Source organism: Homo sapiens, chromosome 14 (genome assembly GCF_000001405.40).
Source record: "Homo sapiens chromosome 14, GRCh38.p14 Primary Assembly".
Classification (NCBI taxonomy): domain Eukaryota; kingdom Metazoa; phylum Chordata; class Mammalia; order Primates; family Hominidae; genus Homo; species Homo sapiens.
The window spans coordinates 91,930,098-91,955,480 of NC_000014.9; the positions used below are offsets into that span (position 1 = coordinate 91,930,098).

The 25,383-nt window shown below is 46.8% G+C and overlaps 1 protein-coding gene across 7 annotated transcripts in view; it reads right to left on the minus strand.

Moving 5' to 3' along the window:
- FBLN5 (fibulin 5) overlaps positions 1 to 17,597 on the minus strand; it is a 78,284-nt gene extending 60,687 nt beyond the window's left edge. For 2 of the 7 annotated variants that reach the window (NM_001384162.1, NM_001384161.1), the window contains exons 1-5: positions 17,116 to 17,597; positions 12,810 to 12,864; positions 10,468 to 10,519; positions 9,753 to 9,853; positions 6,850 to 7,104 (exon numbers count right to left, since the gene is read on the minus strand). In NM_001384162.1, the coding sequence (NP_001371091.1) occupies positions 6,850 to 7,060 (211 nt within the window). In that variant the 5' untranslated portion in view covers positions 7,061 to 7,104; positions 9,753 to 9,853; positions 10,468 to 10,519; positions 12,810 to 12,864; positions 17,116 to 17,597. Of the gene's footprint in view, positions 1 to 6,849; positions 7,105 to 8,232; positions 8,356 to 9,752; positions 9,854 to 10,467; positions 10,520 to 12,809; positions 12,865 to 16,613; positions 16,936 to 17,115 lie in introns of those variants that run through there. The other 5 variants (NM_006329.4, NM_001384160.1, NM_001384159.1 and 2 more) reach the window with 3 other exon arrangements.

A 25,383-nucleotide genomic window follows, 5' to 3' on the forward strand; every position in this document is an offset into this window, starting at 1 on the left:
GGGGTTTGGAGCAGGAGAAGTCATCACGGAATGATGAGATTTGAGATAATGAAAACAATAATTACAGTAACGAACTTAGGAAGCCCCTATGATAAGCCAGCCTCGATGTTAGACAATTTGCATGCATATCTCACTTAATTCTCCAAATTTCCTGTGGCAGTTGGTACTGTTATCCCTGTTTACGGGAGGAAAATCTGAGGTTTAGAGAAGTGAAGCCACTTGCCCATCATCCCAGCAATGATAGGGAAAGACTTGCAGCAAGGTGGGAAACCTGGGGAGGCCATGCCCATGAACAAGCTTGCTGGGGCCAATTCACAAAGACATCTGAGCGAACCCAGCTGCAGAACCCCCACCTCAATGCGATCCCATTTCCTCTCTGGGCCTGCGTAGTCCCAATGCCCTCAGCAGCTAAAGAATCGGTTTCATGGTTTCACGCATTTTCCTCCAGATCTGTTTCACGCATTTTCCTTCTGGTCTCAGCCTGAGGACTGAGTTTCAAGTTACAGACCAAGCCAGAGGACTGTATAAAAACTAAGAAAAGTCTGTTGGAGTGAAGGCCGCCTTCTCCTCCCTAGTTTTTGCTAACCACAGTCCTGTCAGCATTAGGGGCTGAGGTTCCTACTTGCCCCGGCCTTTATGCCACATTTGTTCCCACTTCCCACTTTTCTGTCTCACAATTTAAATAATCCCAGGTTCTGCTGCCATTTCCAAGCAGATTCCGAGTGAAGCCACATCAGGCTTAGCTGGGGAAAGCCGTTCGAGGCCTGCAAGGTAAATGTGTACTAGGCTCAGTTTTAGGTCATTTTAAAGGTTTTGAAGAATTAGACGTTTGATGCATTTTCAGACTCTGTGACTCTTCCCCTGGGTTATCATCTCAAGACCCTAGCAGCCTTCTCCACAAATCTTTCCCAGTTAACGTTTACTATGGGATACTCTGCGTAAACACTGGGCAAGGTGTTTGCACATGTTATCTGTGAGACAGGCATTGTTATATCCATTTTACAGATGAGGAAACCAACCCCCGTCCTCACAGGTAGGAAGTGGCCAAACCAAGGTGAGACTCAAAGCCTGTCTGACTTCCCAGTTCCAGTCCCCTCCACCCCAGAAGGCTTCTTATCTCTGCCTTCTTTTTATACCATCTCAGGAACTCATCAGAGGCCGTCTTGAATTTCAGCTGCTTGTGCTTGTGTTGCGTTTAATCTCCCTTCCTTGTCCACAAGCTCTAGAGAGAGCTCCGTGGCCATGCAAAACTCCACATCCCCCTCGGTGCCTAGGCCAGAGCCTGGCACCAACAAAGCACTCTGTACACATTGGTTGACTGAAGAAGTACTGGCTGGCTTTCAGGAAAAATAACTCAAGAGAAAGCCTCAGACCAACACCACCCACCTTCCAAAAGGATTCCATGTGTTGCTCTCTGCCTGTTCTCAGATCAATAACAATAACAAAAATCCTGGACTAGAAGAGAGAATCAAGATATTGCTTGTAATTTCACAAATGGCCGGAATTTCTGCAGTCCCCGGAGTAGCAGGGCTCTAGTAAAAGGCTGCTTTCTCAGCCGCAAAATATTTCACAAACATGAGTTACTGATGGAGTCTCTACATTTGCCACTGAGCCAAGCTGGTTAGCAAAGCTAGAACTTGGAATGTCCACCCAGAGAGATGACAAGTTGAGCCCCCAAGGGAATGAGTTGACAGAGTTGAGTGGCGGCCACGTTCAGGGACCCGGTCTTAGAGGCAGCGTGCCATGAGAGGAAGGTTCCTGAATGGGAGTCCACATCTTGGGTGCCCCAGCCACTCGGCACCAGCTCACCCCACCCCCTGAGGCTTCAGCACCACACCATCCTCAGCCCCACACCGTCCTTCTCTGGGATGTCTATGTGGCCAGCTCAGAACTCTACGTATGTGTTTGATTTGGCCTCTGTCTGGGTCTTGATTGTGAGCTGTTGGGTGAGGCTCTCCTTCAGCAGCCCCTCCCTGCTTACCCGTTAACCATGTCTGTCTGGCTCTCCCTCCCCTGAGAATCTGGTCACCAGATCTCCCAAGGGTCCAGGATCTGGGTGACACACTCTAATGAGCCATGAGTCCCATCACTGTCATGCCAAGATGCCAGTTTTCTGAACAACACAAAACTTGCTTGGCTCGTGGACTATAATTCCTAGGTCACTGTTCACTGTGTCTGCAGAAATGTCCCAAGTGCACACCTAGGGGCCTGTGGACTCAAACCTAAGGCCAAACATTGTTCCAAAAGGACAGGGTCTAGTCACCTCCAAAGTGGAACCAAAAAGAGAAAAATTGAGGAGGAAGCTCTGAGGGACTGGCCACCCAGGTGCTGAGCCCGGCCCCGCCCAGCCCATGGAAACAGCATGGCTTCATGCGGCACCAAGGGATGAAGTGCTTCCTTGAAAGTGGGTCCAAACCCTAGAAAAAGTAAACCGCCGTGAAAGGGGATGCTCATTTGCCTCCCCAAGGCAGACTGTCTTACACTTTGAGAAGAAATCAGTGCATGAAGAGGGCAAAAGATCAAAGATGCTACCTGCAAAATAGCCTGCCCAAAAATTTAACCTGAATTGGATCAAGTCCCTAGATCTATGAGCAGCTTACAAGAAAATATAGGGGACGAAGGAATAAGATAACCCGCGCCCCGGCAAGAGTGCAATCAGCCACCTCCGAAACGTATGAAATTCTACAGAACAAGCAGCTCAGCCTCTTCAACAAATAAGTGGCCAGGGAAACAGTAAAGACTAAAAGACATTTAAGAGACTTGTCAACCAATGCAATTTGCAGAATTTGCATGGATCTGATTTCAACAAACCAACAGACAACAGGCTGCTGAGATGGCTTCGTATGCATGGCCCCTTTGGGGCTCAGCTTGTCATCCCTCTGGGTGGATATTCCAAGTTCTGGCTTTGCTAACCAACTTGGCTCAGTGGCAAATGTAGGGACTCCAATAACTAATGTTAGTGAAATGTTTTGTGGCTGAGAAAGCAGGATTTTGTTAGAGCCATGCTACTCCGGGGACTGCAGGGATTCTTCTGGCCATTTGTGATGAAATTGCAAGGCATTTATGAGACAATCAGAGAGATTTGAACACTACCTGGATATTTAATGATAAAAAGAGATTATTATTGACTTCTGTAGGTTTGATAATGGTATTGTGCTTTTTGGAAGTTTTTTTATTTTAATTTTTTATTTTTTTGAGGCAGAGTCTTGCTCTGTCGCCCAGGCTGGAGTGTAGTGGCACGAGCTCGGCTCACTGCAACCTCCACCTCCTGGGTTCAAGCAATTCTCCTGCCTCAGCCTCCCGAGTAGCTGGGAAAACAGGTGCATACCACCACACCCAACTAATTTTTGTATTTTTAGGGGGTTTCATCATGTTGGCCAGGCTGGTCTCGAACTCCTGACCTCAGGTGATCCACCCACCTCGGCCTCCCAAAGTGCTGGGATTACAGGCATGAGCCACCGTGCCTGGCCTTAAATTTGTTTTTGTAAAGAATTTCTTTATCTCTTAGAGATAATTCTGAAGTCTTTAAGAATGAAATTATATGATGTCTGGGATTTGCTTTAAATTAATGCACTGAGTAGAGTGTAAAGAAGAAAGGAGATTGTGCCCGTGCTGATAACTACAGAAGTTGGGTGATAAGTAGGTAGGTGCTTACTATGCTCTTTCTACTTTTGACTAGGTTCAAAATTTTACAGAGCAAAAAGTTTCATTATGAAAAAAAAAGAGAGATAGCTGGGTGCCACGGCTCACACCTATAATCCCAGCATTGTGGGAGGCCGAGGCATGAGGATTGCTTGAGCCCAGGAATTTGAGACCAGCCTGGGCAACATGGCAAAACCCTGTCTCTACCAAAAAAATACAAAAATAAGCCAGGCATGGTGGCACATGCCTGTAGTCCCAGCTACTTGGGAGGCTGAAATGAGAGGATCACTTGAGCCCAGGAGGCAGAGGTTGCAGTGATCGAGGATCATGGTGGCACATGCCTGTAGTCCCAGCTACTTGGGAGGCTGAAATGGGAGGATCGCTTGAGCCAAGGAGGCAGAGGTTGCAGTGATTGTGCCACTGCACTACAGCCTGGGTAACAGCCAGACCCTGTCTCAGAAAACAAAAATAGCAAGAGAAGGACCTTGTTTTTAATCCTGACTTCAGCACTGACTCTGAGCACCCTCGAACAAATCTATACCTCACTGAGCCTGTTTTCTCATTCAAAGCCTGAATGGTTCAAATCATGGCTCGGCCCCTCACTTGCTGTGTGACTTTGAACAGGTTTCTTAGTTTCTCTGCTTCGGTTTCCTCATGGGTACAATAGGAATGATAATAGTTTTACCTTGTAGCTGGTTATGAGGATCAAGCGCATTAATTATTGTAAAGGTCCTAGCACACGAGTTCTATCCAAGTGTTTGATATTATTACCACTGCTGCTGCGGATGTTACTGTTGATCGCTATTCTTATTTTGATGAAGAGGACAAGACACCTTTGGAGATGTTTCCTCCTCTCCTAGAACACTAAAGTTTCAGAAATGTTTCCCAAGTCTCCCTGACTTACCCACTGCTCATGCAATGCCTCCTCCACAGGATCAGAGCTGTGCTCTGGAAAACACCCACATTCTCTGGGCAGTGACACCTCCACACTCACCTCCTTGTCTTTTCTCAATGATCCCCCCATCTGGTTTCCTTCCCTCCCACCTTCCGCCACGGTGCCTTGCTTCCCTTCCACCTGCTCCCAGGCCCACCTCTCTTCCATCCCAGTTCTTGGAAGGAGCGGTAGGTAGAAAGAGCCTCCCTTTCCCATCCCTTCTCTTACTTCCCCCCACCCCCACAATGCCAGCTCTTTACAATACGCAGAGGGACCTCAGCGAGGGCCATTTGAAAGCCCTGTGTAAAACCAGGAAACCATGGGGTGGGGTGAAGGGAAGTTAGAAAGAACTCAGGACTTATGAATGCATAATGCTGAACTTTTTGGAAATGGATGGGCCTGGTGCCAGTCCTCACTAGGGCTCCTAGATTGTATTCTCCTTACAAAAGGGCCATTATGAAAGTTCCGCATCTCCCGTGTGACAGGTTCAGAGCCATAAATGGCATGACGTCAGAGGGACCAGGGGAGGAATAGGTTTCCCAGCCATGTCCTCATTGTCAAGGGCACTGGGACCCTGGAAAGAGGTTTAGGGGAAGGAGGGAGACACTTTGGAGAAAGCCGCAGCAGTTCCCAGCCGTTCTGCAAAGGAGGCCGCTGAGCTTGCCCGAGGCATCAGCTAGACCTGTCTGCACCACGACCACCCAAGGCCCCCTGCCAAAACCGCAGAGTGCCTCGAAAGAATCATTACACCCTCTTCCTCACCTCAAGACACGTAAGGGCTGATCACTTGGCTTATCCAGCCCCCACGTGACATCCTGGAAGAGCAGCACCTCCCACCTCTATCTCTGCATTTTCTTTTGGGATCATTTCTTTTCTACCAGATAGGAGAGGTCATTTCCTATAGTTAGGAGATTGTAGACAGGGGAGAAGTTAGGGGAGCTGGACTGGCATCCTACCTCTGTAATTACCTAACTGGTTGGAGTCCACACTCTCCTTTCTACAAAATGAAGAAGTTGAAGTTAAAGATTGGTAAAAAAAAGTCCCTTCCAGTTACAAAGGTCTTTCCTCCTGATGCTGGTTATAAGGAAGCATGTTACCATCTTCTCCACCAAAGTTGGCTTGACCGGACCCTGCGCTCATTCCCTTTGCACAGTCATCTACGTTTAAGGTAAACATTAACCAGCTCTGTCTTTCTCACTCTTTCTCTCTCCCCACGCCAACACACACAGAGACCACACGCCTTGAGACCAGCGAAAATGCAGAAGTTTGGGTTCAAGCATACCCAGTGTTCCCTCATAGCTCTGAAGACACTTGTCTGCAATTATTGTATTAAAAAGAGAATGCACACTCCTTCATATAAGCATATAGAAGACACCTTAAATTAACCAACACAGCTTCCCTAATAGTGGGTTACAGCTCAACACTCCAGAGCCCTGAAATGGGACAACAAAATCTTGGGACAAACAAAAATGGGAAAAACAAAAAACAAAATGGGACAAACAAAAATCTTGCTAGACCAATGGTCTCTCAAACTTTTGGGGTAGAGGAAAAAAGTAATAAAACTTCAATTCATATATATTTTTTCTTAAGAGACAAGGTGTCACCATGTTGCCCAGGCTGGAACGCAGTGACTATTCACAGGCGCGATCACAGCGCACCTTGGTCACACCCCTTGCCAATTCCTTTGTGCCTGCTTCTTCCCGGAGGTCCATTCTTGCTGTGAGTTCCTATCAGTGAGGCTCCTTTTGGTCACAAGCACATTAGTTCCAACCCAAGTAACCTAATTTTCTTTCCAGAACAGTTGGCCGTGCCCTTCAAGGCTTCTTGTATTGCAGAAGCACATGTTCCAATCAAGGGTGCGGGGGCTGAGGACAGAGCTTTGGCCCTGTCTAGAACTTCCTCTGAGATTTACTTACTGTAATAAGTCTGACCAGATGTATTGGTTATTTGAGAAAATATTACCTTGGTCTTTAAATATATAGATGAGTTATAGATAGATAGATACAGATAGGTAGGTAGATAGATGAAAGTAAAATAAAGAAAAAAATTGGTTTTCTGGAGAACTGTGAACAAAACAGCAAAATAACCTCCCTAGTTGGGCAGGAACCCAGAGATACAGGCTGCTAAGAGTGAAATAAGTATGCAGAGAGTAAGTCATTGTTTCACTGGTGCATTGAATGGCAACTAACAACCCATTTGTGGTGAGCATGCCAGATACAGACGATGTCTTCACCAAAGCACAGCGGAGAGGAACAAAAGGCCGGGCTACTCACCCACACATTGGTTGCTTTCATCCATCTGGTATCCAAAGCGGCATATAAGAGGCCTGGAGATCGTGGGATAGTTTGGAGCTGAGAGTGGTGGGGCAGCTGCTGGGTACGGACCTGAGTAGGGGGTCGAGTAGGGGTTCGAGTAGGGCCCTCGATACACAGGGTTTGTCCGGGGAATGCATAAATACCCGCCATTTTGGTTAACACACATCATGTCTCCTCGGCAGGCCTCGGGGATGGTTCGGCATTCATCAATATCTGAAAGGCACAGAAAGGGCGAGCATTAGTGGCACCCCAACTGCCTTGTGTCCGGTGCATATTTAAGCAGAACTCGGTACCAGGCGTGGAGGAAGCACTCCCAAACACCTAGGGTGGTCCCAACTCATCGCGGTAAGGTACCCCAAATGTTGGCTGAAGTGTATCAAAGTAACCAGTGTCACTCAAACATCAGCCTTTCAAATACCACCATCATGATTTTGACCATATCTACAAAAACCTTGCTATAGTTTGAATGTCCCTCCAAAACTCATATTGAAACTTAATCCCCAGTGTTGCAATATTGAGTGGTGGGGCCTTTAAGAGGTGATTGGATCCTGAGGGCTGTACTCTCATGAATGGATTAATCTACTCATAGATTAATGGGTTAATGGGTTATCTTGGAAATGAAACTGGTGGCTTTCTAAGAAGAGGAAGAGAGACCTCAGCTAGCAGCCCAGGCCCCTCACCGTGTGATGCCTTGCGTACTTCGGAACTCTGCAGAGAGCCCCCACCAGCAAGAAGGCCCTCACCAGATGGAGATCCTCAACCTTGGACTTCTCAGCTTCCACAATTGTAAGAAATAAATTCCTCTTCTTTATAAATTACCCAGTTTTAGGTATTTAGGTATAAGCAACAGAGAACGGACTAAAACAAACCTGTACTATCATTTGCACATACTCTTTCTTTAAGTAAGCCCATATTTGAAGCCCAAATAAATGTATATTTAAAGTCTTACATGACTACAGCAAGTGAAAACTAGCATAAGTAGAAGGTAACAGTAAAAATAAATATACACTATTAAAATAAAGAGTGTTTATCTGCAGATGTACCATCTAATACATCAAGGATCCTCGTGTGCACATACTATACTCTGAAAATACTGGGATGGGCCTAACAATTGTCTCCACTTCTACTTCAAGTAACAGTGGTCAGGGGAGAAAGAGTCTCTTGCATCAGGAAAAGACAAGGCTTAGGCTGGGCACAGTGGCTCATGCCTGTAATCCCAGCACTTTGGGAGGCCGAGGCAGGTGGATCACCTGAGGTCAGGAGTTCAAGACCAGCCTCCCAACATGGGGAAATCCCATCTCTACTAAATACCAAAAATTAGATGGGTGTGGTGGCACATGCCTGTAATTCCAGCTACTTGGGAGGCTGAGGCAGAAGAATCGCTTGAACCCGGGAGGCAGAGGTTGCAGTGAGCTGAGATTGCGCCATTGCACTCCAGCCTAGGCGACGAGAGGGAAACTCCATCTCAAAACAAAAACAAAAACAAAAAAAAGAAAAAAGAAAAAAAAGAAAAGGCTTGACTGACAGCTAGTTGCTTGTTAAGAAAGCAGAGCTTTGCTTTCAAGTCAGCTCTGTGCCAGCCAACAATTTCTAGCCAGGCTGGGCTCTGCTTGTTATGTCTGGAAGGGGAGAGGTGGACTCTCTAGAAAATCAGCCTTGCTAGGGTACAGACAGGGGAGGCCTGAACTGTGGCTCCAGCGAGCAGTAGACATGATCCCGTATACCGAGCCATGTCAGCAGCCTTGGAGTCTGCTCTGTGCGGGGCTAGAGACTGGAGACCACATGCCTGCACCCGACAACTCACCCCCAGCATCTCATCTGAGAAACTCACACCCAATCCTACCAGAGGTAAAAGCAATGGCAAGGTGCAGAATGCAACAGCCTGTTCTCCAGCTTGAAGCCTGAAGCCATCGCTGAAATGGGGGGCCAGAAAAGAAGGCCACTGCTCTACTCTTGATTCCTCATCAAATCTTCAAATCAAAACACCTTATTTTAAAATCAAAACGTAAGCCCAGATTTCCCAGGACAGGGTTTTATTCCTCACTGTTCATCGATTTTTCAAACCATCTATCTCCCCTCTGGAGCATGGTGACGTTAGCTCAGAGAAGACAAATGATTTTGCTTAAATTAAATATAATTTAAAAGCTAAATACTTCCCCTAAGATGGGGGCAAGTAGGGCTGTCTTCTTCCGTTCATATGCCCTATGCTCTGTCAACAACAAACTATTCCATGCTCTGAGTGTCCTTTCCACACCTGGTCCTTGTTAATGCTGTTCCTTCTACCTGGAATGGCATTTCTTAGGATCCTATTCATCTTTCAATACCCAATTCAAATGTGACCTCCATTAATTTTTTTTTTTTTTTTTTTTGAGACAGAGTCTCTCTCTGTTGCCCAGGCTGGAGTACAGTGGTGCGATCTCAGCTCATTGCAACCTCTGCCTCCCAGGTTCAAACCATTCTCCTGCCTCAGCTTCCTGAGTAGCTGGGGCTACAAGCACATGCCACTACTCCTGGCTAATTTTTTTGTATTTTTAGTAGAGACAGGGTTTCACCATGTTGGCCAGGCTGGTCTCGCACTCCTGCCCTCAGGTGATGCACTCGCCTCGGCCTCCCAAAGTGCTGGGATTACAGGCGTGAGCCACCGCACCCGGCCCCATCGATGCTTTATTGACCCTGGACATAAGGTATTACTTTCTCCTCTTCTTTTGCAGAGTCCATTGCAAAAGATGGCATGCTAAGAGAATGACCCCCACAAACACTCCAAAATCTCTTCCTAGTCCTCAGAACCTGTGAATAGGTTGGGTTACACGGCAAAGGGGAATTAAGGTAGCAGCTGGAATTAAGCTTACTAAGCAGCTGACCTTGAGATGGGGAGGTTATCCTGGATTTTCTGGGTGGGCCCGATATATTCACAGGAGTTCTTAAAAGTAGAAGAAGAAGAGGCTGATTGGTCAGAGAGATGCTACAACAGAAAAAGAAGAGATTCAAAGTGAGAAACGCTTGACTCGCTGTGTTGGCTTTGAGGATGGAGGGAGGAGCCACCAGCCAAGGAAAGCAGGAGGCTTCTAAAAGGTAGGAATTGCCCTCCACTGACAGTCAGCAAGGAAACAGAACCTCAGTCCTACAACCACAAGAAACTCAATTCTGCCAACAACCAGAAGGGAATAAAAGTCTCCCTTAGAGCCTCCAGAAGAGCACACAGCCCTACTGACACCTTAATTCTATTCTGGTGGAGACTCAAGTCAAACTTCTGACCTACTGAACTGTAAAATCATACACTGGTGTTGTTTAAGCCACTAAGTTGGTGGTAATTTGTTACGGCAGCCCTAGGAAACACCAATCCAATAGAAACCTTCAAGAGAACAGAGATCAATTCTTTCACCCCTCTCAGTGCTTAGCTCAAGGCCAGGCACAAAGAAGGTGATCAATAAAAGGGCACCACTGACTTCAGTCATTCCATGTCACTGTATTCTCCCATGGGCATGGCTAATCATTGAACAACAGAGAAAGAAATAAATAGCACTGCAACTGGGCTGAATGCCTCCACCCCAATGAAGGATCCACAGTGGCTCATACCTAAACACTGTCCTGACTGGCGATCCAGGTCAAAGCCATTCGTGCACTGTGCCTGCAGGGAAGGAGAGAGGAGAAACAGGCAAGGTCATTTCACACCATAAAAGTCTTATTGCTGCAACACAGAAAGTTGGGGAAATGGAGCAAAAAAGAAAGGCCTCCAAAATACCAATACCTGTATTATAACCCCTATTTGTTCTTCTAAAATTTTTCCTTGTAATTATTTTATACTTAGAACTACTTTCTAAACTCCCCACACCAGGCCAGGCGCAGTGGCTCATGCATGTAATCCCAGCACTTTGGGAGGCTGAGGAGGAAGGATTTCTTGAGCCCAGGATTTTGAGACCGCCCTCAAGACCCCATCTCTGTGTTTTTAGAAAAACTTTATTTAAAAAAAAACTCCCTGTACCATTGCTTCATAGCTCCCATTTTTAGCAGACAGGTTTCAGGGTTTTTAATGCTGTAGTTGTGAAGAGCAAGAGGAATCATATCTGCTGAGCCTAATGTGGCATGCTCCCTGTTCATCCCCTTTCTGGGAATGAATAAGACTGCTTTTAAGGGCAATGACTCTTTCTTTAGGTGCTACCTCGCCTTCAGAGTGTCGAATATGAGTTATTTGCCCCCATGAAATCCTCTACCTGATTTTGATGTCTGTACATAAATAAAAGCTACACAGAGATGTGGTCAGTTTTCTAAGAAAAGTTGAATTGAGTAAATTTCTCCATTTCAACCTCAGCAAGATGACGACATAAAGATGCTTCCAGAAAGAGATAGATCTCAACAATTCCAGAGGGTTGTAGCTTTTACATACAACTTGAGCTACAAATGTATGTACTTAAAAAAAAAATGTGTTGGGTGGACTCTTCAGGAAGACCCCAGGGCCTGACATTTTCTAGGAGCTCCCATCCCTGGCCTTTTCTACAGCTTCGGAGGTTGGGCTTCGCTGAGCTGTTGGTTGATTTGCAGAGATGATGTATATGGCCTGCACTCCCGGGAGAGGGTTCAGGGGTCCCAGGGAGTTGGGGCAAAGGAAGTGGAACAGACGAGCCAGGAAGCTGTGCCGGGAAGCTGGGAGGCCAGGAGATCCAGGTTCCAGCCCTGGTTGTCAAGGACTGGCATAGGTTCAAGACTGCTGGACCAGGGCATGGCTTCAAATTCTCACTCTAGCCCCTACTCTCTGCGTAACTTTTCTATGCCTCAGTTTCCCCATCTGTAAAATGGGGGGGTATGTACGTAGTTCAAAATGGTGGTAAGGACGATGTATGTTAATCTATATAACGTGCCTAAAGTGCAGTAAACACGACCCTGAACCTCTGCCCTTGGGGCCTACCTGTCTTCATGTGTACACCATGAGGCTGCCTTAGAAAACCGCAAGGTCTAAAATTCTTTGTTACTCCTCCCAAAATCCTTCCCATTGCCAGTGGCCTGAATATGCTTCAAAATTCTTAATATGAAGAGAGAAAATGCTCCCCTACCTGCCTGCAGCCCTCAGCCTGCTCAGAGATAGGGCTTCTCTCACTTCTTTCCTGAGCCAGAGACACAGAGAGGCCACTCGGAGTTTTCAGGAGGGATCTGCCCACATTTCAGGGCTGACACACAGGGGTCCATCTCTCCTGTTGCTTAAAATAAAGTCCAGGATGCTGCAAGCTTCTTCCAGAACCCCTAAGGCCCTGAGCCTGGCCTCACCCACCCCCTTCTTACTCCTCTGAGGGGTTTCAGCCCAGGGATGGGCCCTCCTAGGTTTGGAGCTGAATTATGCAACACTACATGCTGGGATGTTTGGGTAACACCCACTTCCTCTCCCACCTCCTCCAGGAGGGGTGTGTCTGTGGCAACACATGCAGACCCGTGGGGGTCCTCAGGTGCCATTGCCCAGAAACACTACAGCATATTTTACTTTTCAACACTGAAGGTAGGTTGAGGCCTGCTGTGAGGGGCACAAATGAGGCCATGTGATCTGATTAAAAATGGATGCTGGGCTTAATACCTAGTGATGAATTGATAGGTGCAGCAAACCACCATGGCCCACATTTACCTATGTAACAAACCTGCACATCCTGCACATGTACCCTAGAACTTATAATAAAATAGAAAAGAGTCTTGGACTGGGAGTCAGGAAACTGAGTACCAGCCCCAGCCTTGTCACTTACAAGTCATGTCACCTGGGCCAAGTCTCACTTTCTCTGAGCTTCCACTGTTAACCTCTGAGAATGAAGAGCTCAGATGAGGTCAACTGTAAAGCCACTCCCACCCCCACAAACCTAGGGTTCCGTAGCGCAAGGCTGGACTCCCTCACCCCGGATTTTAATACGCTTGTAGATATTTTTTAAAAATAAAAATCTTACCTGTGCATTCCCAGGGCTTGGAAGACAGAGAGCCAGAATGGTAACAGTGAGTATCCTGTGGAGGTGAAAAGTCAAATATAAATGCCCAAGACAGATTCAGGTCTAGGGGAGTGTGGGTCGCATGCGGCCCGTGACGTGTAACGGTGATATCACCTTGGGCTTGTATGGGGTGGGGTGTGCTCCAGGGAGGTCATGGTGGTTCCAGACACCGCGACCACCCAAGCAGAACCACACCTCTTCTACTTGCCTCCTGCATTGGGATCATGTGTTAGATCACACTTTTTAATAAAGGGTTTGGCTGCTTCAAAAAAAAAAGCTAAGGTCAGGTGCGGTGGCTTACGCTTGTAATCCCAGCACTTTGAGAGGCTGAGGCAAGAGGATTGCTTGAACCCAGGAGTTTGAGACAAGCCTGGGCAACATGGTGAAACCCCATTTCTACAAAATTAAAAAAAAAATTAACTGGGCATGATAGCACGCGCCTAAAGTCCCAGCTACTCAGGAGGCTGAGGTGGGATCACCTGAGCCCAGGGGGTTTGAGGCTGCAGTGAGCTGAGATCATACCACTGCACTCCAGCCTGGGTGACAGAGCGAGACCTTGTCCTCCCCCCACCCCCCAAAAAAGCTAAAACCTCCCACTATGGTATTAACCAGTTCCTTGGTCTTTATTCTTTATGCGAGATGTGCTTGACTTTTGAACATCTTTATGCTGACATGATTACAGAGTGAATAAGCCATCATCATGCCCTCAAACAGTGAAAGGAAAAGAAAGTGAGAATGTGAGGCACTTTGAGTGGCACCAAAGAAAGGTGTCACAGGAAGTCACTGAACCAGAGCATTGAGTCCACATGTGTGAAAATCCCCCATCAGTGGATGGGTTGGGGTGGCCCTGTCCCCTGAAGAGTGTGGCCTGCGGGAACTGCTGCCAGCAGGTCCTGATGGAGGAAAGGACTCGGGGAACCTGCACAGCCCAGGGAAAATGAAACCCGCGGGAAAACAGGAGGAGGAGTCACGCACCCTGGGCTCAGTTCTGCCATGCACAAGACAGTGATGCTCTGGGAGTCTGCAACTCTGCCCTTCGCCACGCACAGGCTTTAATCCAGTAAGATTGTGGCCAGCAAGATTGCTTTAAAAATACAAAAGCAGCCGGGTGTGGTGGCTCATGCCTGTAATCCCAGCACTTTGGGAGGCCGAGGCAGGAAGGTCACCTGAGGTCAGGAGTTCGAGACCAGCCTGGCCAACATGGTGAAACCTTGTCTCTCTACTAAAAATACAAAAATTTGCCAGGCATGGTGGTACACGCTCTGAGACAAAGCGAGACTCTGTCTCAAAAAATAAAAACAAAATAAAAATACAAAATCTCTACTACTTCACACTCATGAGGCTATTAAAAAATGGAAAAGAGCAAGCGTTAGGGAGGATGTGGAGAAAGTGAAACTCCTGTGCACTGTTGGTGTAAATATGGTGCAGTCTCTATGGAAAACAGTATGATGACTCCCAAAACACTAAACATAGAATTTCCATGTGATCCAGCCATTCTACTTCTAGGTATATACCCTCAAAAAATTAAAAGCAAGGACTTGAAACAGGTATTTGTAAACCTGTGTTCATAGCAGCATTATTCACAATAGCCTAAAGGTGGACGCAGTCCTTCGATGGATACATGGATAAACAAAATGCAGTCTGTACACACAAGGGAATAGTATTCAGTCTTAAAAAGGAAGGAAATTCTGACACATGCTACAATATGAATGAACCCTGACTGTATTATGTTAAGTGAAAAAAGCCACTCACAAAAAAGACAAAGTCTGCATGGGTCCATTTATACGAGGCACCTAGTGTAGTCGAAATTACAGAGACAAAAAGTGGAATGTTGGTAACCAGGGGCTTAGTGGGAGGGGAAGATGGGGAATTGTTTAATAGGTACAGAGATTCAGTCATGCAAGGTGAAAAGAGTTCTGGAGATTGCACAGCAATGTGAATGCAGTTAACACTACTGAACTAGACTCTTCAAAATGGTTATGGTAGAAAAAAAGACAAAATCAGGCTGGGCATGGTGGCTCCCACCTCTAATCCCAGCACTTTGGGAGGCCGAGGTGGGTGGATCACCCGAGGTCAGGAGTTTGAGACCAGCCTGGGCAACATGGTGAAACCCCGTCTCTACTAAAAATACAAAAATTAGCCGACTGTGGTGGCAGGCGCCTGTAGTCCCAGCTACTCTGGAGGCCAAGGCAGACAAATCACTTGAACCCAGGAGGCAGAGGTTGCAGGGAGCCGAGATTGCGCCACTGCATTCCAGCCCGGGAGACAGCGAGACTCCGTCTCAAAAAAAAAAAAAAAAAGAAAATCTAAACAAAAGCAGAGCGTTATCTAGTACTATTATTCAGTTCAACAGCAGTTTATCCAAGCAACTACTGCTTGTGGGTGTGGATGCCAGATGGAGGAGCTACAGAACTGTGAAACAACCACTACCCTTGAGAACCAGTTGGGGAGCCACGACAATGTCCATACACCTTGGCAAGGGCATGGAAAGAAATACCTATTGGGTGCCATAACAACCAGGCTGTGGGTAGCAACAAGACTTCCTGGAGAAGGTGATCTTGAAGGCTTCTTCAACAGAGCAGTGAACCTGGGGACATGGCTGAATTCTGGGGCCCGTTACTACAAACGTGCACCACAACAATATAATCCCTCCCTTTCAGGACACATGGCCCATCTGCATCAGCAACCCTGGGTATTAGAGGACCTGGAGTTAAGCTGACATCCAGAGGGAATAGGGCCCTGATACGATCTTAGGAGATGCGAGGCCATTTCCTTTATCGAGTCCCCAATCCAAAAAATAAGGACGCTGAGAGTCCACAAGTTTTCATGTAAGTGCCTGGGTGAGCCAGATTCTAGAACGCTGGAGACAGCTCTGACCTTATAAAGTGCAGAGCCAAATCCCAGGGCTTTTTGATATTTGCCATGGCCAGATTTATATCTGGAAGGAATGAAAGAACAATAACAAATTTATTTTCCAGTCTGTGTATTATGAATTTCAATGTTTTCCTGTTTCTTCACATGAAGTTTCCTTTCAGTTGGTTATAAAACCCTGTCTCGTTTATGTTGGAGAAAGAACAGGCTGACTGCAACACAGTGGACTTCAAGAGCTAGTTGAAAAGGCATGCTAACCCCATCTTTCCCCCTACTCCCCGCAGCCCCATTCCCTTTGGCTAGAGGCAGCCCTGGGACAGGTCTTGCCTCAAGCCCAGCCTCTTGGAAGAGCCACAGCTGAGTCCTGGGGGCCAAACAGGTTCCAGGCTAATAGGATTTTCCTAAAATGAAAGAATACCCAAGCACTACTGCCTCACAGCATCACGAATAGCTGCACCTTGTGATTAAAAAAAAAAAACCCTGGAAACTCCAAAAATGAACTAACTATAAGAATAGCTGGGGGGAGGCAGGTTGGTGCTCATAACCGGTCCTGGGAACTTTCTAAAGCAGGTGGGTTCGCCGGTGTTGTGCCTCAGCCTGAAACACAAGGAAAGCCGGAGAGACCAACCAAATACCAGGACTGCCTGTCACAGAAGTGCTGGTCCCCAATCCAGGATGACATTGTTACAGCTTAGTTTTCAGCACACACACACACACACACACACCCCACAGACACATACATACGCACACAAGGTTAATTTGTTCAAAGCAGTATGTTTTCAAGAGCTCGCTGAATAAAGACTGTGGGTGTCATTTAGGTAAAGTTCTCCAAGACTTAAGGATTACTTAACTGTAATTGCAATTTCCTTAAAGAATAGCAAAACATTTGCTTACATGTATCTCTGTCTGCAGTTCCCACTTCTCATTGGCTTGAAACTTCTGTGAGAATCCCACACAAACATAGAGCAAATCCAGCCCCGCGGTGTTCAGCTAGCCTGTCTGCTTGTCTATCAGCCGATGCGGCGCAGTAATTGCTAGTGAACTAGTAATTGGCCTCCCGAAATTTAAAAAATACATACAAAAATCCCTTAAAACGACAAAGTTGCTGCCCTTTCCAGAAAAGAAAGAGGAATGAAGCGCTGAGAATTTCGCAGCCCTCTCTGATGCTGGCTTTTGAAACTGTATTAGAAAATACCCACTCCCAAAAGAACGCTTCAAGATGGAAATTACAGAGGCGCAGCTTTTTATAATTAACAATATCATTGCATCACTAGCTCATGCCTTTTCCAATATCCTGACACCGCCTGAATCGCAGCCATAACCATTTTCCACCCATCGGATTTTTAGCAAGGCTTCCAGACCCTGGAGAAAGAAAAGTCCAGCGCCGAGAACCCACCTTTTTATTCCTGGCATGTCCAAGACGCGCGAGGAGGAGATGCGAAGGCGAGAAGAAAGCTCGCGGGCGGGACCCCCGGAGGAGCTCGGGCACGTCGGCCTCCTCTGGGCCCTCGGGGCTCGCGGGTGTTTTATTCCAGAGGGGCCGAGCGAGTCGTGGAGAGGACACGGGGAGAGCGCCGGGGTCCTCCCAGCCACTGCAGAGCCCTCAGCGCAAGCACCTGGTTTTGCTTAGCCCTCTTCAGTAATTCAGCATTAAACCAATTGGAGGAGGAATGTTAAAAATGAACACTTCATTTTCTAAGTATGTTAAACAATGCAAATGGGGCCTCAGTCTGGACACAGCTGGTTCAGATTACAGCGCTCACCAACTGGCTAGACTCCTCACAACAATCTTGGGGCGTCTGCCAGGGCCCAGTGCTCGGCGCTGGGAGGAGAGCCCTTCCCCGGCCGCGCTCGGCTGCGAGCGCCCGGGCAGAAGGCGAGGGGCGGGCGCGCGCAGGGGTGCGGGGGCTGGGAGGGCCCGGGCCCCTTGACCTTCCCACCCAGGGGCGGGGCGGGGCTGGCAGCGCGGCCCGGCGGGGAGGGGCGTGCACGCCCGCGCTGCGTGGCAAGGGGACCCGCGAGAACGTTGTCGCCTCCGGAAGGAAAGGGACTTGAACTCACGACCCACGCAGCTCCAGGGACTAGAAACTCACGATCGATTGGGAAACCAGAACCTACGAAGCAGAGGCTTGGGGCGAGCGACGGGAGAGTCGCGATCTTCCCGAAGAAGGGGTGGGGAGCAGCGGGGTGGGGTGGGGGGGAAGAGGATGGAATCCCGCTGGTGCGAATTCCAGACTTCAGCTTGTGCAATGCAAGTCTTAGGACGCTTTTCTCTCCCCGCCCTCATTCCCCGATTCTCCCTGGCATTTTCTCGCTTTCCTGGAAAAGTGTCCCCTGGCTCGAAAGTGATTTTAACAAGTTAAACGGTGATTTGAAGAAGGGACAGTCTGGAAAAGCAGAATGGTGGAGACAGCACATAAGACATGCTGAGTCCTTTGCATTCATTCTAGTGGAGGCTTCAACCTGTTTCTTTTTCCTGTTTGTTTGTTTGTTTGTTTGTTTGTTTTTAAGCCATTGGAGTACTTTTGTCAATGAAATCTTACAGAAGGCACTCACTCTATAAAACGCCAGTGGATGGACTGTGGCCTATCCCATCTGCTTCCACCTGCATCTTCCTACCTGCAGCCGAAAAGCCCTGATCCAGGTCCCCTGTCCTCACCACCACTCTAAGCAGTAGGAATGATCATCTCCATGTTATTAGAGGTGAAGATAAGAGAGGTTAGGTAACCTCCCCATAGTCACGCAGCTATTCATTGGTACAGCTGAGCCTCTGGAGTCTACATATTTAGCCTTCCCTAAGGCATTTTTGGGGGTAAGTAAATGGAATTCTACCCAAAGGAGAATAACAGAATGTGGATAGTTGTTGAAGCTGTGTCCATTATACTAGTCTAATCTATTTCCTTTTACGTGTTTGAAATTTCCTGTAAAACACTTTTTTAAATACCTTATGTTTATAAGGTTGTTCATCCCCCCATTGTTTGTAAAAGCAAAAGATTATAAACACCTTTAAGGTCGATCAGCAAGGCACCAATAGGGTTAAATAAAGTAAGGGGCTTCCAAAGGGACTATTGTGCAACCAATTAAAACCTAGACACTTAAGAGTCCACATCAAACGACTCCATTTATATAAAATTCAAAGTCAGATAGTGACTGGGAGGCAGCCCAGCCCCTTCTGGGTGCTGGTAATAATCTAATGATTGATCTGGATGCTGGTTATGTAGGGGTGTGTACATTTAATATTTGTGAAGTCTTATGTATGTTATATCTTATTTTGAAAAAAAGACTGAAACAGCTCCGTATGCACTGCTATTGAAGGGTTTCCAATATATTTTGTGGGTCAAAACAGTAGAATATTGGTAATTTCACATAGATTGATCTAATATAGTAATAAATGTAAAAAGTAAGCTGCAGAACTGTGTGTAAAGCATGCCATCATTTGTGGGAAAAAAAATAAATACATAAGTTCTTGCTTGTACACGTACAGAAAAGACATCACCTGAAGGATGCACAAGAAACCATGAGTATTATTGGTCTTAGCTCAGGCTGCTATAACAGAATACCATAGACTGGGTGGTTTATGCAATAACATTTATCTCTCCCAGTTCTGGAGGCTGGAAGTCTGAGATCAGGGTGTGGGCATAGCCAGGTTCTCATGAGGGTCCTCTCCTGGTTGCAGATGACTGTCTTCTTGCTATGTCCTCACATGATGGAGAGAGGGAGACTAGGGTTCCTTTTTTTGAGATGGAGTCTCACTCTCTCGCCCAGGCTGGAGTATGGTGGTGTAATCTCGGCTCACTGCAAGTTCTACCTCCCAAGTTCAGGCAATTCTCCTGCTTCAGCCTCCCAAGTAGCTGGGATTATAGGCACGCACCACCGTGCCTGGCTAATTTTTGTATTTTTAGTAGAGATGGGGTTTTGCCATGTTGGCCAGGCTGGTCTTGAACTCCTGGGCTCAAGCAATCCATGGGCCTCGGCCTCCCAAAATGCTGAGATTACAGGCTTGAGCCACCGCGCCTGGCCAGAGACTGGGATTCCTTTTATAAGGGCACTGGTCCCATTCGTGAGAGCTTCACCCTCATGATCTAATCACCTGCTGAAGGCCTCATCTCCTAGAGCCATCACCTTGGGGATTCAGATTTCAACATATGAATCTGGGGGTTTAAACATATGGTCTGTAACCATCTCCTAGGAGGGAAATCAGGCAGACAATTGGAAAAGAAATAGGAGAGGAAAATTCGCTCCTCATTGCTCACTTTTTGGCATAACTTGAATTTTGTACCTTGTACCTGTATTACCTATTCAAAATATGAGTAATATTCAAAATAATAAAACTTAAAATATCTGATGTAGAACTAGTTGTGGGGGTAGGAAGAGTTTTAAGGGACTCAGTCCATTCACCTCGCAGATACTGTCAACCTTCTTGAAGAACACGGAAGGAGAGGAAATCAATATACCTGTTTCCTACATAGGCAAATTGAGACCGTTGGAAGCAAAACTGTCCCGGGACCCATCTTGGATGAGAGATTGTTTCCATCTTAAAATTGTAGGGTTGGAAAGGGGGAGAAAACGAAGACTGCCATAAAACACTTGGGTCCAAGTCTTGGTTTTTCCTCCTACCCTCTCGACATCTCAGTTTTCTCATCTGCAAGATGGCGATGATAACATCGCCAGGGTTGTTGCGGGAATGAAATAACAGTTATCCTCTTGATTTTCACTGTGTCCACGTTCCCATTCCCTACACAATGCCCTCCAAAATATCCTTAATAAATAGTAAATTATCCACTTCTGTGGACGAGGAAATCACAGCGCCACAAAACAGCCCATCTCACTATTGAATAACTCAAACTGTTAGAAAATTCTCTCTTCAGTTGAACCCAAATCCACTTCCCTGTATGTAATTACTGTTCATGGAATCTAATTCTCCCCTCTAAAGCCAGGGGCCCCCCAACTTGGAAACAACAAGCTTCCTATTACCCTTCCACTCCTCGCCCACGCTACTATTCTCATCTCCAGGCTGAACATCCCAGGGGCTTTCAGCTGCTCCTCATGTGCCCTGTGACCCCAAGGCAGCCTGTTCATCTCCTCTGGCAGTTTCTGTCTCTTGATTCATACTGAATTTGCACCAACAAAAGCAACCTGTAATGCACAGGCTACGTAACAGCATCTCCTCCACCCTGTACTTGGACTGCAAATTATTTTTAAGCAAGCACAAGGTTTTACATATGTCCATATTACATTTTTATCCACTGTTTAAGATCTTTCTCTCGGCCAGGCTCGGTGGCTCACGCCTGTAATCCCAGCACTTTGGGAGGCCGACGCGGGCGGATCACGAAGTCAGGAGATTGAGACCATCCTGGTCAACATGGTGAAACCCCGTCTACTAAAAATACAAAAATTTGCTGGGTGTAGTGGCGTGCACCTGTAATCCTAGCTACTCGGGAGGCTGAGGCAGGAGAATCGCTTGAACCCGGGAGGCAGAGTTTGCAGCGAGCCGAGATCGTGCCACTGCACTCCAGCCTGGTGACAGAGCGAGACTGTCTCAAAAAAAAAAAAAAAAAAGATATTTCTCTCAACATGAATTGTTGTCTAAAGTACTAAATATCACTCTCAGCTTTGACAAATACAGAGCTGCTGAATGTGACTTCTTTGACTTTATCACAGTTATCAATAAAAATGCTACTGGGAGGCCGGGCGCAGTGGCTCACGCCTGTAATCCCAGCACCTTGGGCGGCTGAGGCGGGCGGATCACCTGAGGTCAGGAGTTTGAGACATAATAATAATACAAAATAACACTAATACTAATTCTAATACTACTAATAATACAAATATTAGCTGGGCATGGTGGTGGGCGCCTGTAATTCCAGCTACTAGGGAGGCTGAGGCAGGAGAATTGCTTGAACCTGGGAAGTGGAGGTTGTAGTGAGCTGAGATTCCACCATTGCACTCCAGCCTGGGCAACAAGAGCAAAACTCTGTCTCGAAAAAACCACAAATAAATGTTACCGGGATAGTTGGAGTGCAGCAATCCATCCAGATTGGCACTAATCCCTTCTCTTTCTTCACTATTTTGGGGTCACTGCCCATTGTCTGACTCCAGGCGAGACCAACTTCTCTCACAAAAGAGCTGGTCTTTTTTTTTTTTTTTTTTTTTGAGACGGAGTCTCGCTGTCGCCCAGGCTGGAGTGCAGTGGCGCGATCTCAGCTCACTGCAAACTCCGCCTCCCGGGTTCACGCCATTCTCCTGCCTCAGCCTCCCGAGTAGCTGGGACTACAGGCACCCGCCACCTCGCCCGGCTGATTTTTTGTATTTTTAGTAGAGACCGGGTTTCACCGTGTTAGCCAGGATGGTCTCGATCTCCTGACCTCGTGATCCGCCCGCCTCTCTTTGTTAGAAAGTTCTTTCTTGAGCTGAACCCAAATCTGCTTCCCTGTATGGAACTAATGTCCATGGCTTCTAATTCTCCGCTCTGCAGGGACAGATTCCTCCCTCTTCTGCATAACGAGCTTCCTATCCATTAAAACGGTTCCCCGTGTCCACAAAGACTTCGTGAGACACTTTGTCAAGTGTTCTGCTAACATCAAAACACGTTACCTATAGCATTTCCTGATCTAGCAAATCTATTTTAAAAAGGAAAAATGTTCCTTTGGCATGAACTGCTAAATGACCCTTGCTGTCTTCCAGAGATCATCGCTTCCTCTTCAAAGTGTTTTTGCTGGGCCAGGCACAGTGATTCATGCCTGTAATCCCAGCCTTTGGGAGGCTGAGGCAGGCGGATCACCTGAGGTCAGGACTTTGAGACCAGCCTGGCCAACATGGTGAAACCCTGTCTCTACTAAAAATACAAAACTTAGCCGGGCATGGTGGCGTGCAGCCTAGTCCCAGCGACTTGGGAGGCTGCGGCAGGAGAATCGTTTGAACCCGGGAGGCAGAAGTTGCCGTGAGCCAAGATCACGCCACTGCACTCCAGCCTGGGCAACAGAGAAAGACTCTGTCTCAAAAACAAAACAAAACAAAATCGTTTTTGCTTTTTCATTTGCAAAATAGGAATCCTATCATCTGCTCCACCTCCCATCATCAGAATCAAACACAATCAAAACTATAAAACAACTTTACAAAATGCAAATTGTAGCATAAATGTAAGAGGTTATCATCCGCTGAATGAGATCTTCCTGGTTCCAGTGAAGCCCAATTTCTTCACTCTGCCGCTGTGGGTTGAAAGACAAATAAGCAATTTTATTTTTTTTGTAAAGCAGTGTGTCAAATTGGGGGAAAACTCACAAAATTATAGATTGAATGATATATGTTGACTATTAATATTAAATCAGAGCTGGGCAAGGTGGCGCATGCCTGTAATCCCAGCAACTCGGGAGGTTTAGGCAGGAGGATTGCTTGAGGCCAGGGGTTCAAGACCAGCCTGGGCAACACGATGAGACCTTGTCTCTACAAAACACTTTAAAACTTAGCCAGGCAAAGTAGTGTGTGTCTGTAGTCCCAGCTACTCATTAGGCAGAGGCGGGAGGATTGCTTGAGCCCAGGAGGCCAAGGCTGCAGTAAGTCATGATTGTTCTACTGCACTCCAGCCTGGGTGACACAGCAAGACTCTATCTCAAAAATAAACAAAACTTTTATTTTTTTACTGTCCAAAAATAGTCATATTGTAATGCCTTTTTATGAGCAAATGTAAAACAGGGAGGGGGTGTTATTGGATGTCAATGATTATGTTAGATGCTACAGCTCCTCTCCTTTGACCCCCACAATAACCCTGTGAAATAGGAAACCCTCCGTTTTGCAGATAAACAGGTGCAGGGACATCAGGGCCATGCAGATAATCAGGGGTCCAAACTCCAGCCCTCACCAGCCTGTTGGATTCTAGAGTCCTCCTTCCTTCCAGTTTACCAAGCCTGCTTTCTCTACTCACAGCTTCCCTGGCTACTTCCCTCCCTGTCTCAGCCCCCCAGGAATATTCCAGAACTCCATGGGCCCTTCCATCATTGCTCTGTCTCGCTCTCTCTCCTTTTTCTGAACGCTAGTAAAGCCTTTGGTTTCATATATTATCCAAACTTGGCCCAAAACAGTCAGAAAACTAAAATGACAGCCAACACGTGAGGTTCAGCATTGGGCAGAGGCTCCACCCCACAGTTCTGCCCATCCTGCCGTGAGGGTAGGGGAATGTCTGTTGGTCCTGATGCTCCCAGAGGCTTCCTCTCTCCTCCTCCCTTGGTCAGACTTCTCACTGAGTACTTGTCTCAGCCAACTCCTCACCATCTAGTCCCACCTTAACCTGCTAAAATCTGACTAAGTTCCCACCATTCACCCACATAATGCTCCCTAAGTTGCCTAGTGATTCCTCCTGGCCAAATACGATGCCTTTTCTCCACCTCTAATTGTTCCTGTGTCTCTAGTTGATGATGCATCTTCTCTCTTTCATCCATGGCTTTAAGTTTTCCTGGGTGTTTACCCCTACATTTTTTTTTTTTAGAGACAGCGTCTCACTCTGTCACCCAGACTGAAGTGCAGTGGAACTATCATAGTTCATTGTATCATCAAACTCCTGGGTTGAAGGGATCCTCCTGCCTCAATCCCTGGAGTAGCTGGGACTACAGTTGTGCACCACTATACCTGGTTAATTTTTTAATTTTTTGTAGAGACCAAGTCTCGCTATGTTGCCCAGGCTGGTCTCAAACTTCTGACCTCAAGCAACCCTCTCACCTCAGTCTCCCCAAGTGCTGGGATTACAGGCATTAGCCGCTGAGCCCGGCATTTCCCTCTGTAATTCTGATTATGTACTTTTTTTTTTTTTTTTTTTTGAGATAGAATCTCCCTCTGTTGCCCAGGCTGGAGTGCAGTGGTATAATCTTGGCTCACTGCAACCTCCGCCTCCTGGGTTCAAGCAATTCTCCTACCTCAGCCTCCTGAGTAGCTGGGATTACAGGCGCCAGCACCACGCCCAGCTAATTGTTGTATTTTTTTAGTAGAGATGAAGTTTCGCCATGTTACCCCGGCTGGTCTCGAACTCCTGACCTCAAGTGATCCACCTGCCTCGGCCTCCCAAAGTACTGGGATTATAGGCGTGAGCCACCGCACCTGGCCTGTACTTTAATGTAACCGACTGGTTTGAGAATGTCAGGATTTTCTAGACATACCTGGAATTTCCAGGAAATTCAGCAAATCATTAAAACACCTGAGCTTTTCTTATTGTTTTAGCTGACTGTGGTTTTGACATATAACCATGTGCAAAATGTGGGCTCTGTCCTAGAGACTTCAGGCAAGCAGACTCTGCCGGGGAGCCCCAGAGTTGAGGTCAAAAACTGGTAATGACCTGCTTCCACCTGCCATCTCTGTTTTGTTCTTGTCAATTTGTTTTCTGACATTTAATATGGATTGAGATTTTGGGCAACCCTAACATATTTACTATGACTGTAAAATGGTAAGATGGTCCATTTACCTCATTTCCTACTTACAATCCACATAAGATAGACTGTATTAGTGGCTCCCAGATTCTTGAATTTACCAGACTAGTAAAGTCAACCACCTTGAAAATAGAGAGAATATTAGGTGCCAATTTTTAATTTTGCCAGTAAAAACAAAAGAAAATACAACCATCATATATCACATCATCATATTTCATAAGAGAAAGAACTTTTAACACCACATGTAGGAGAGA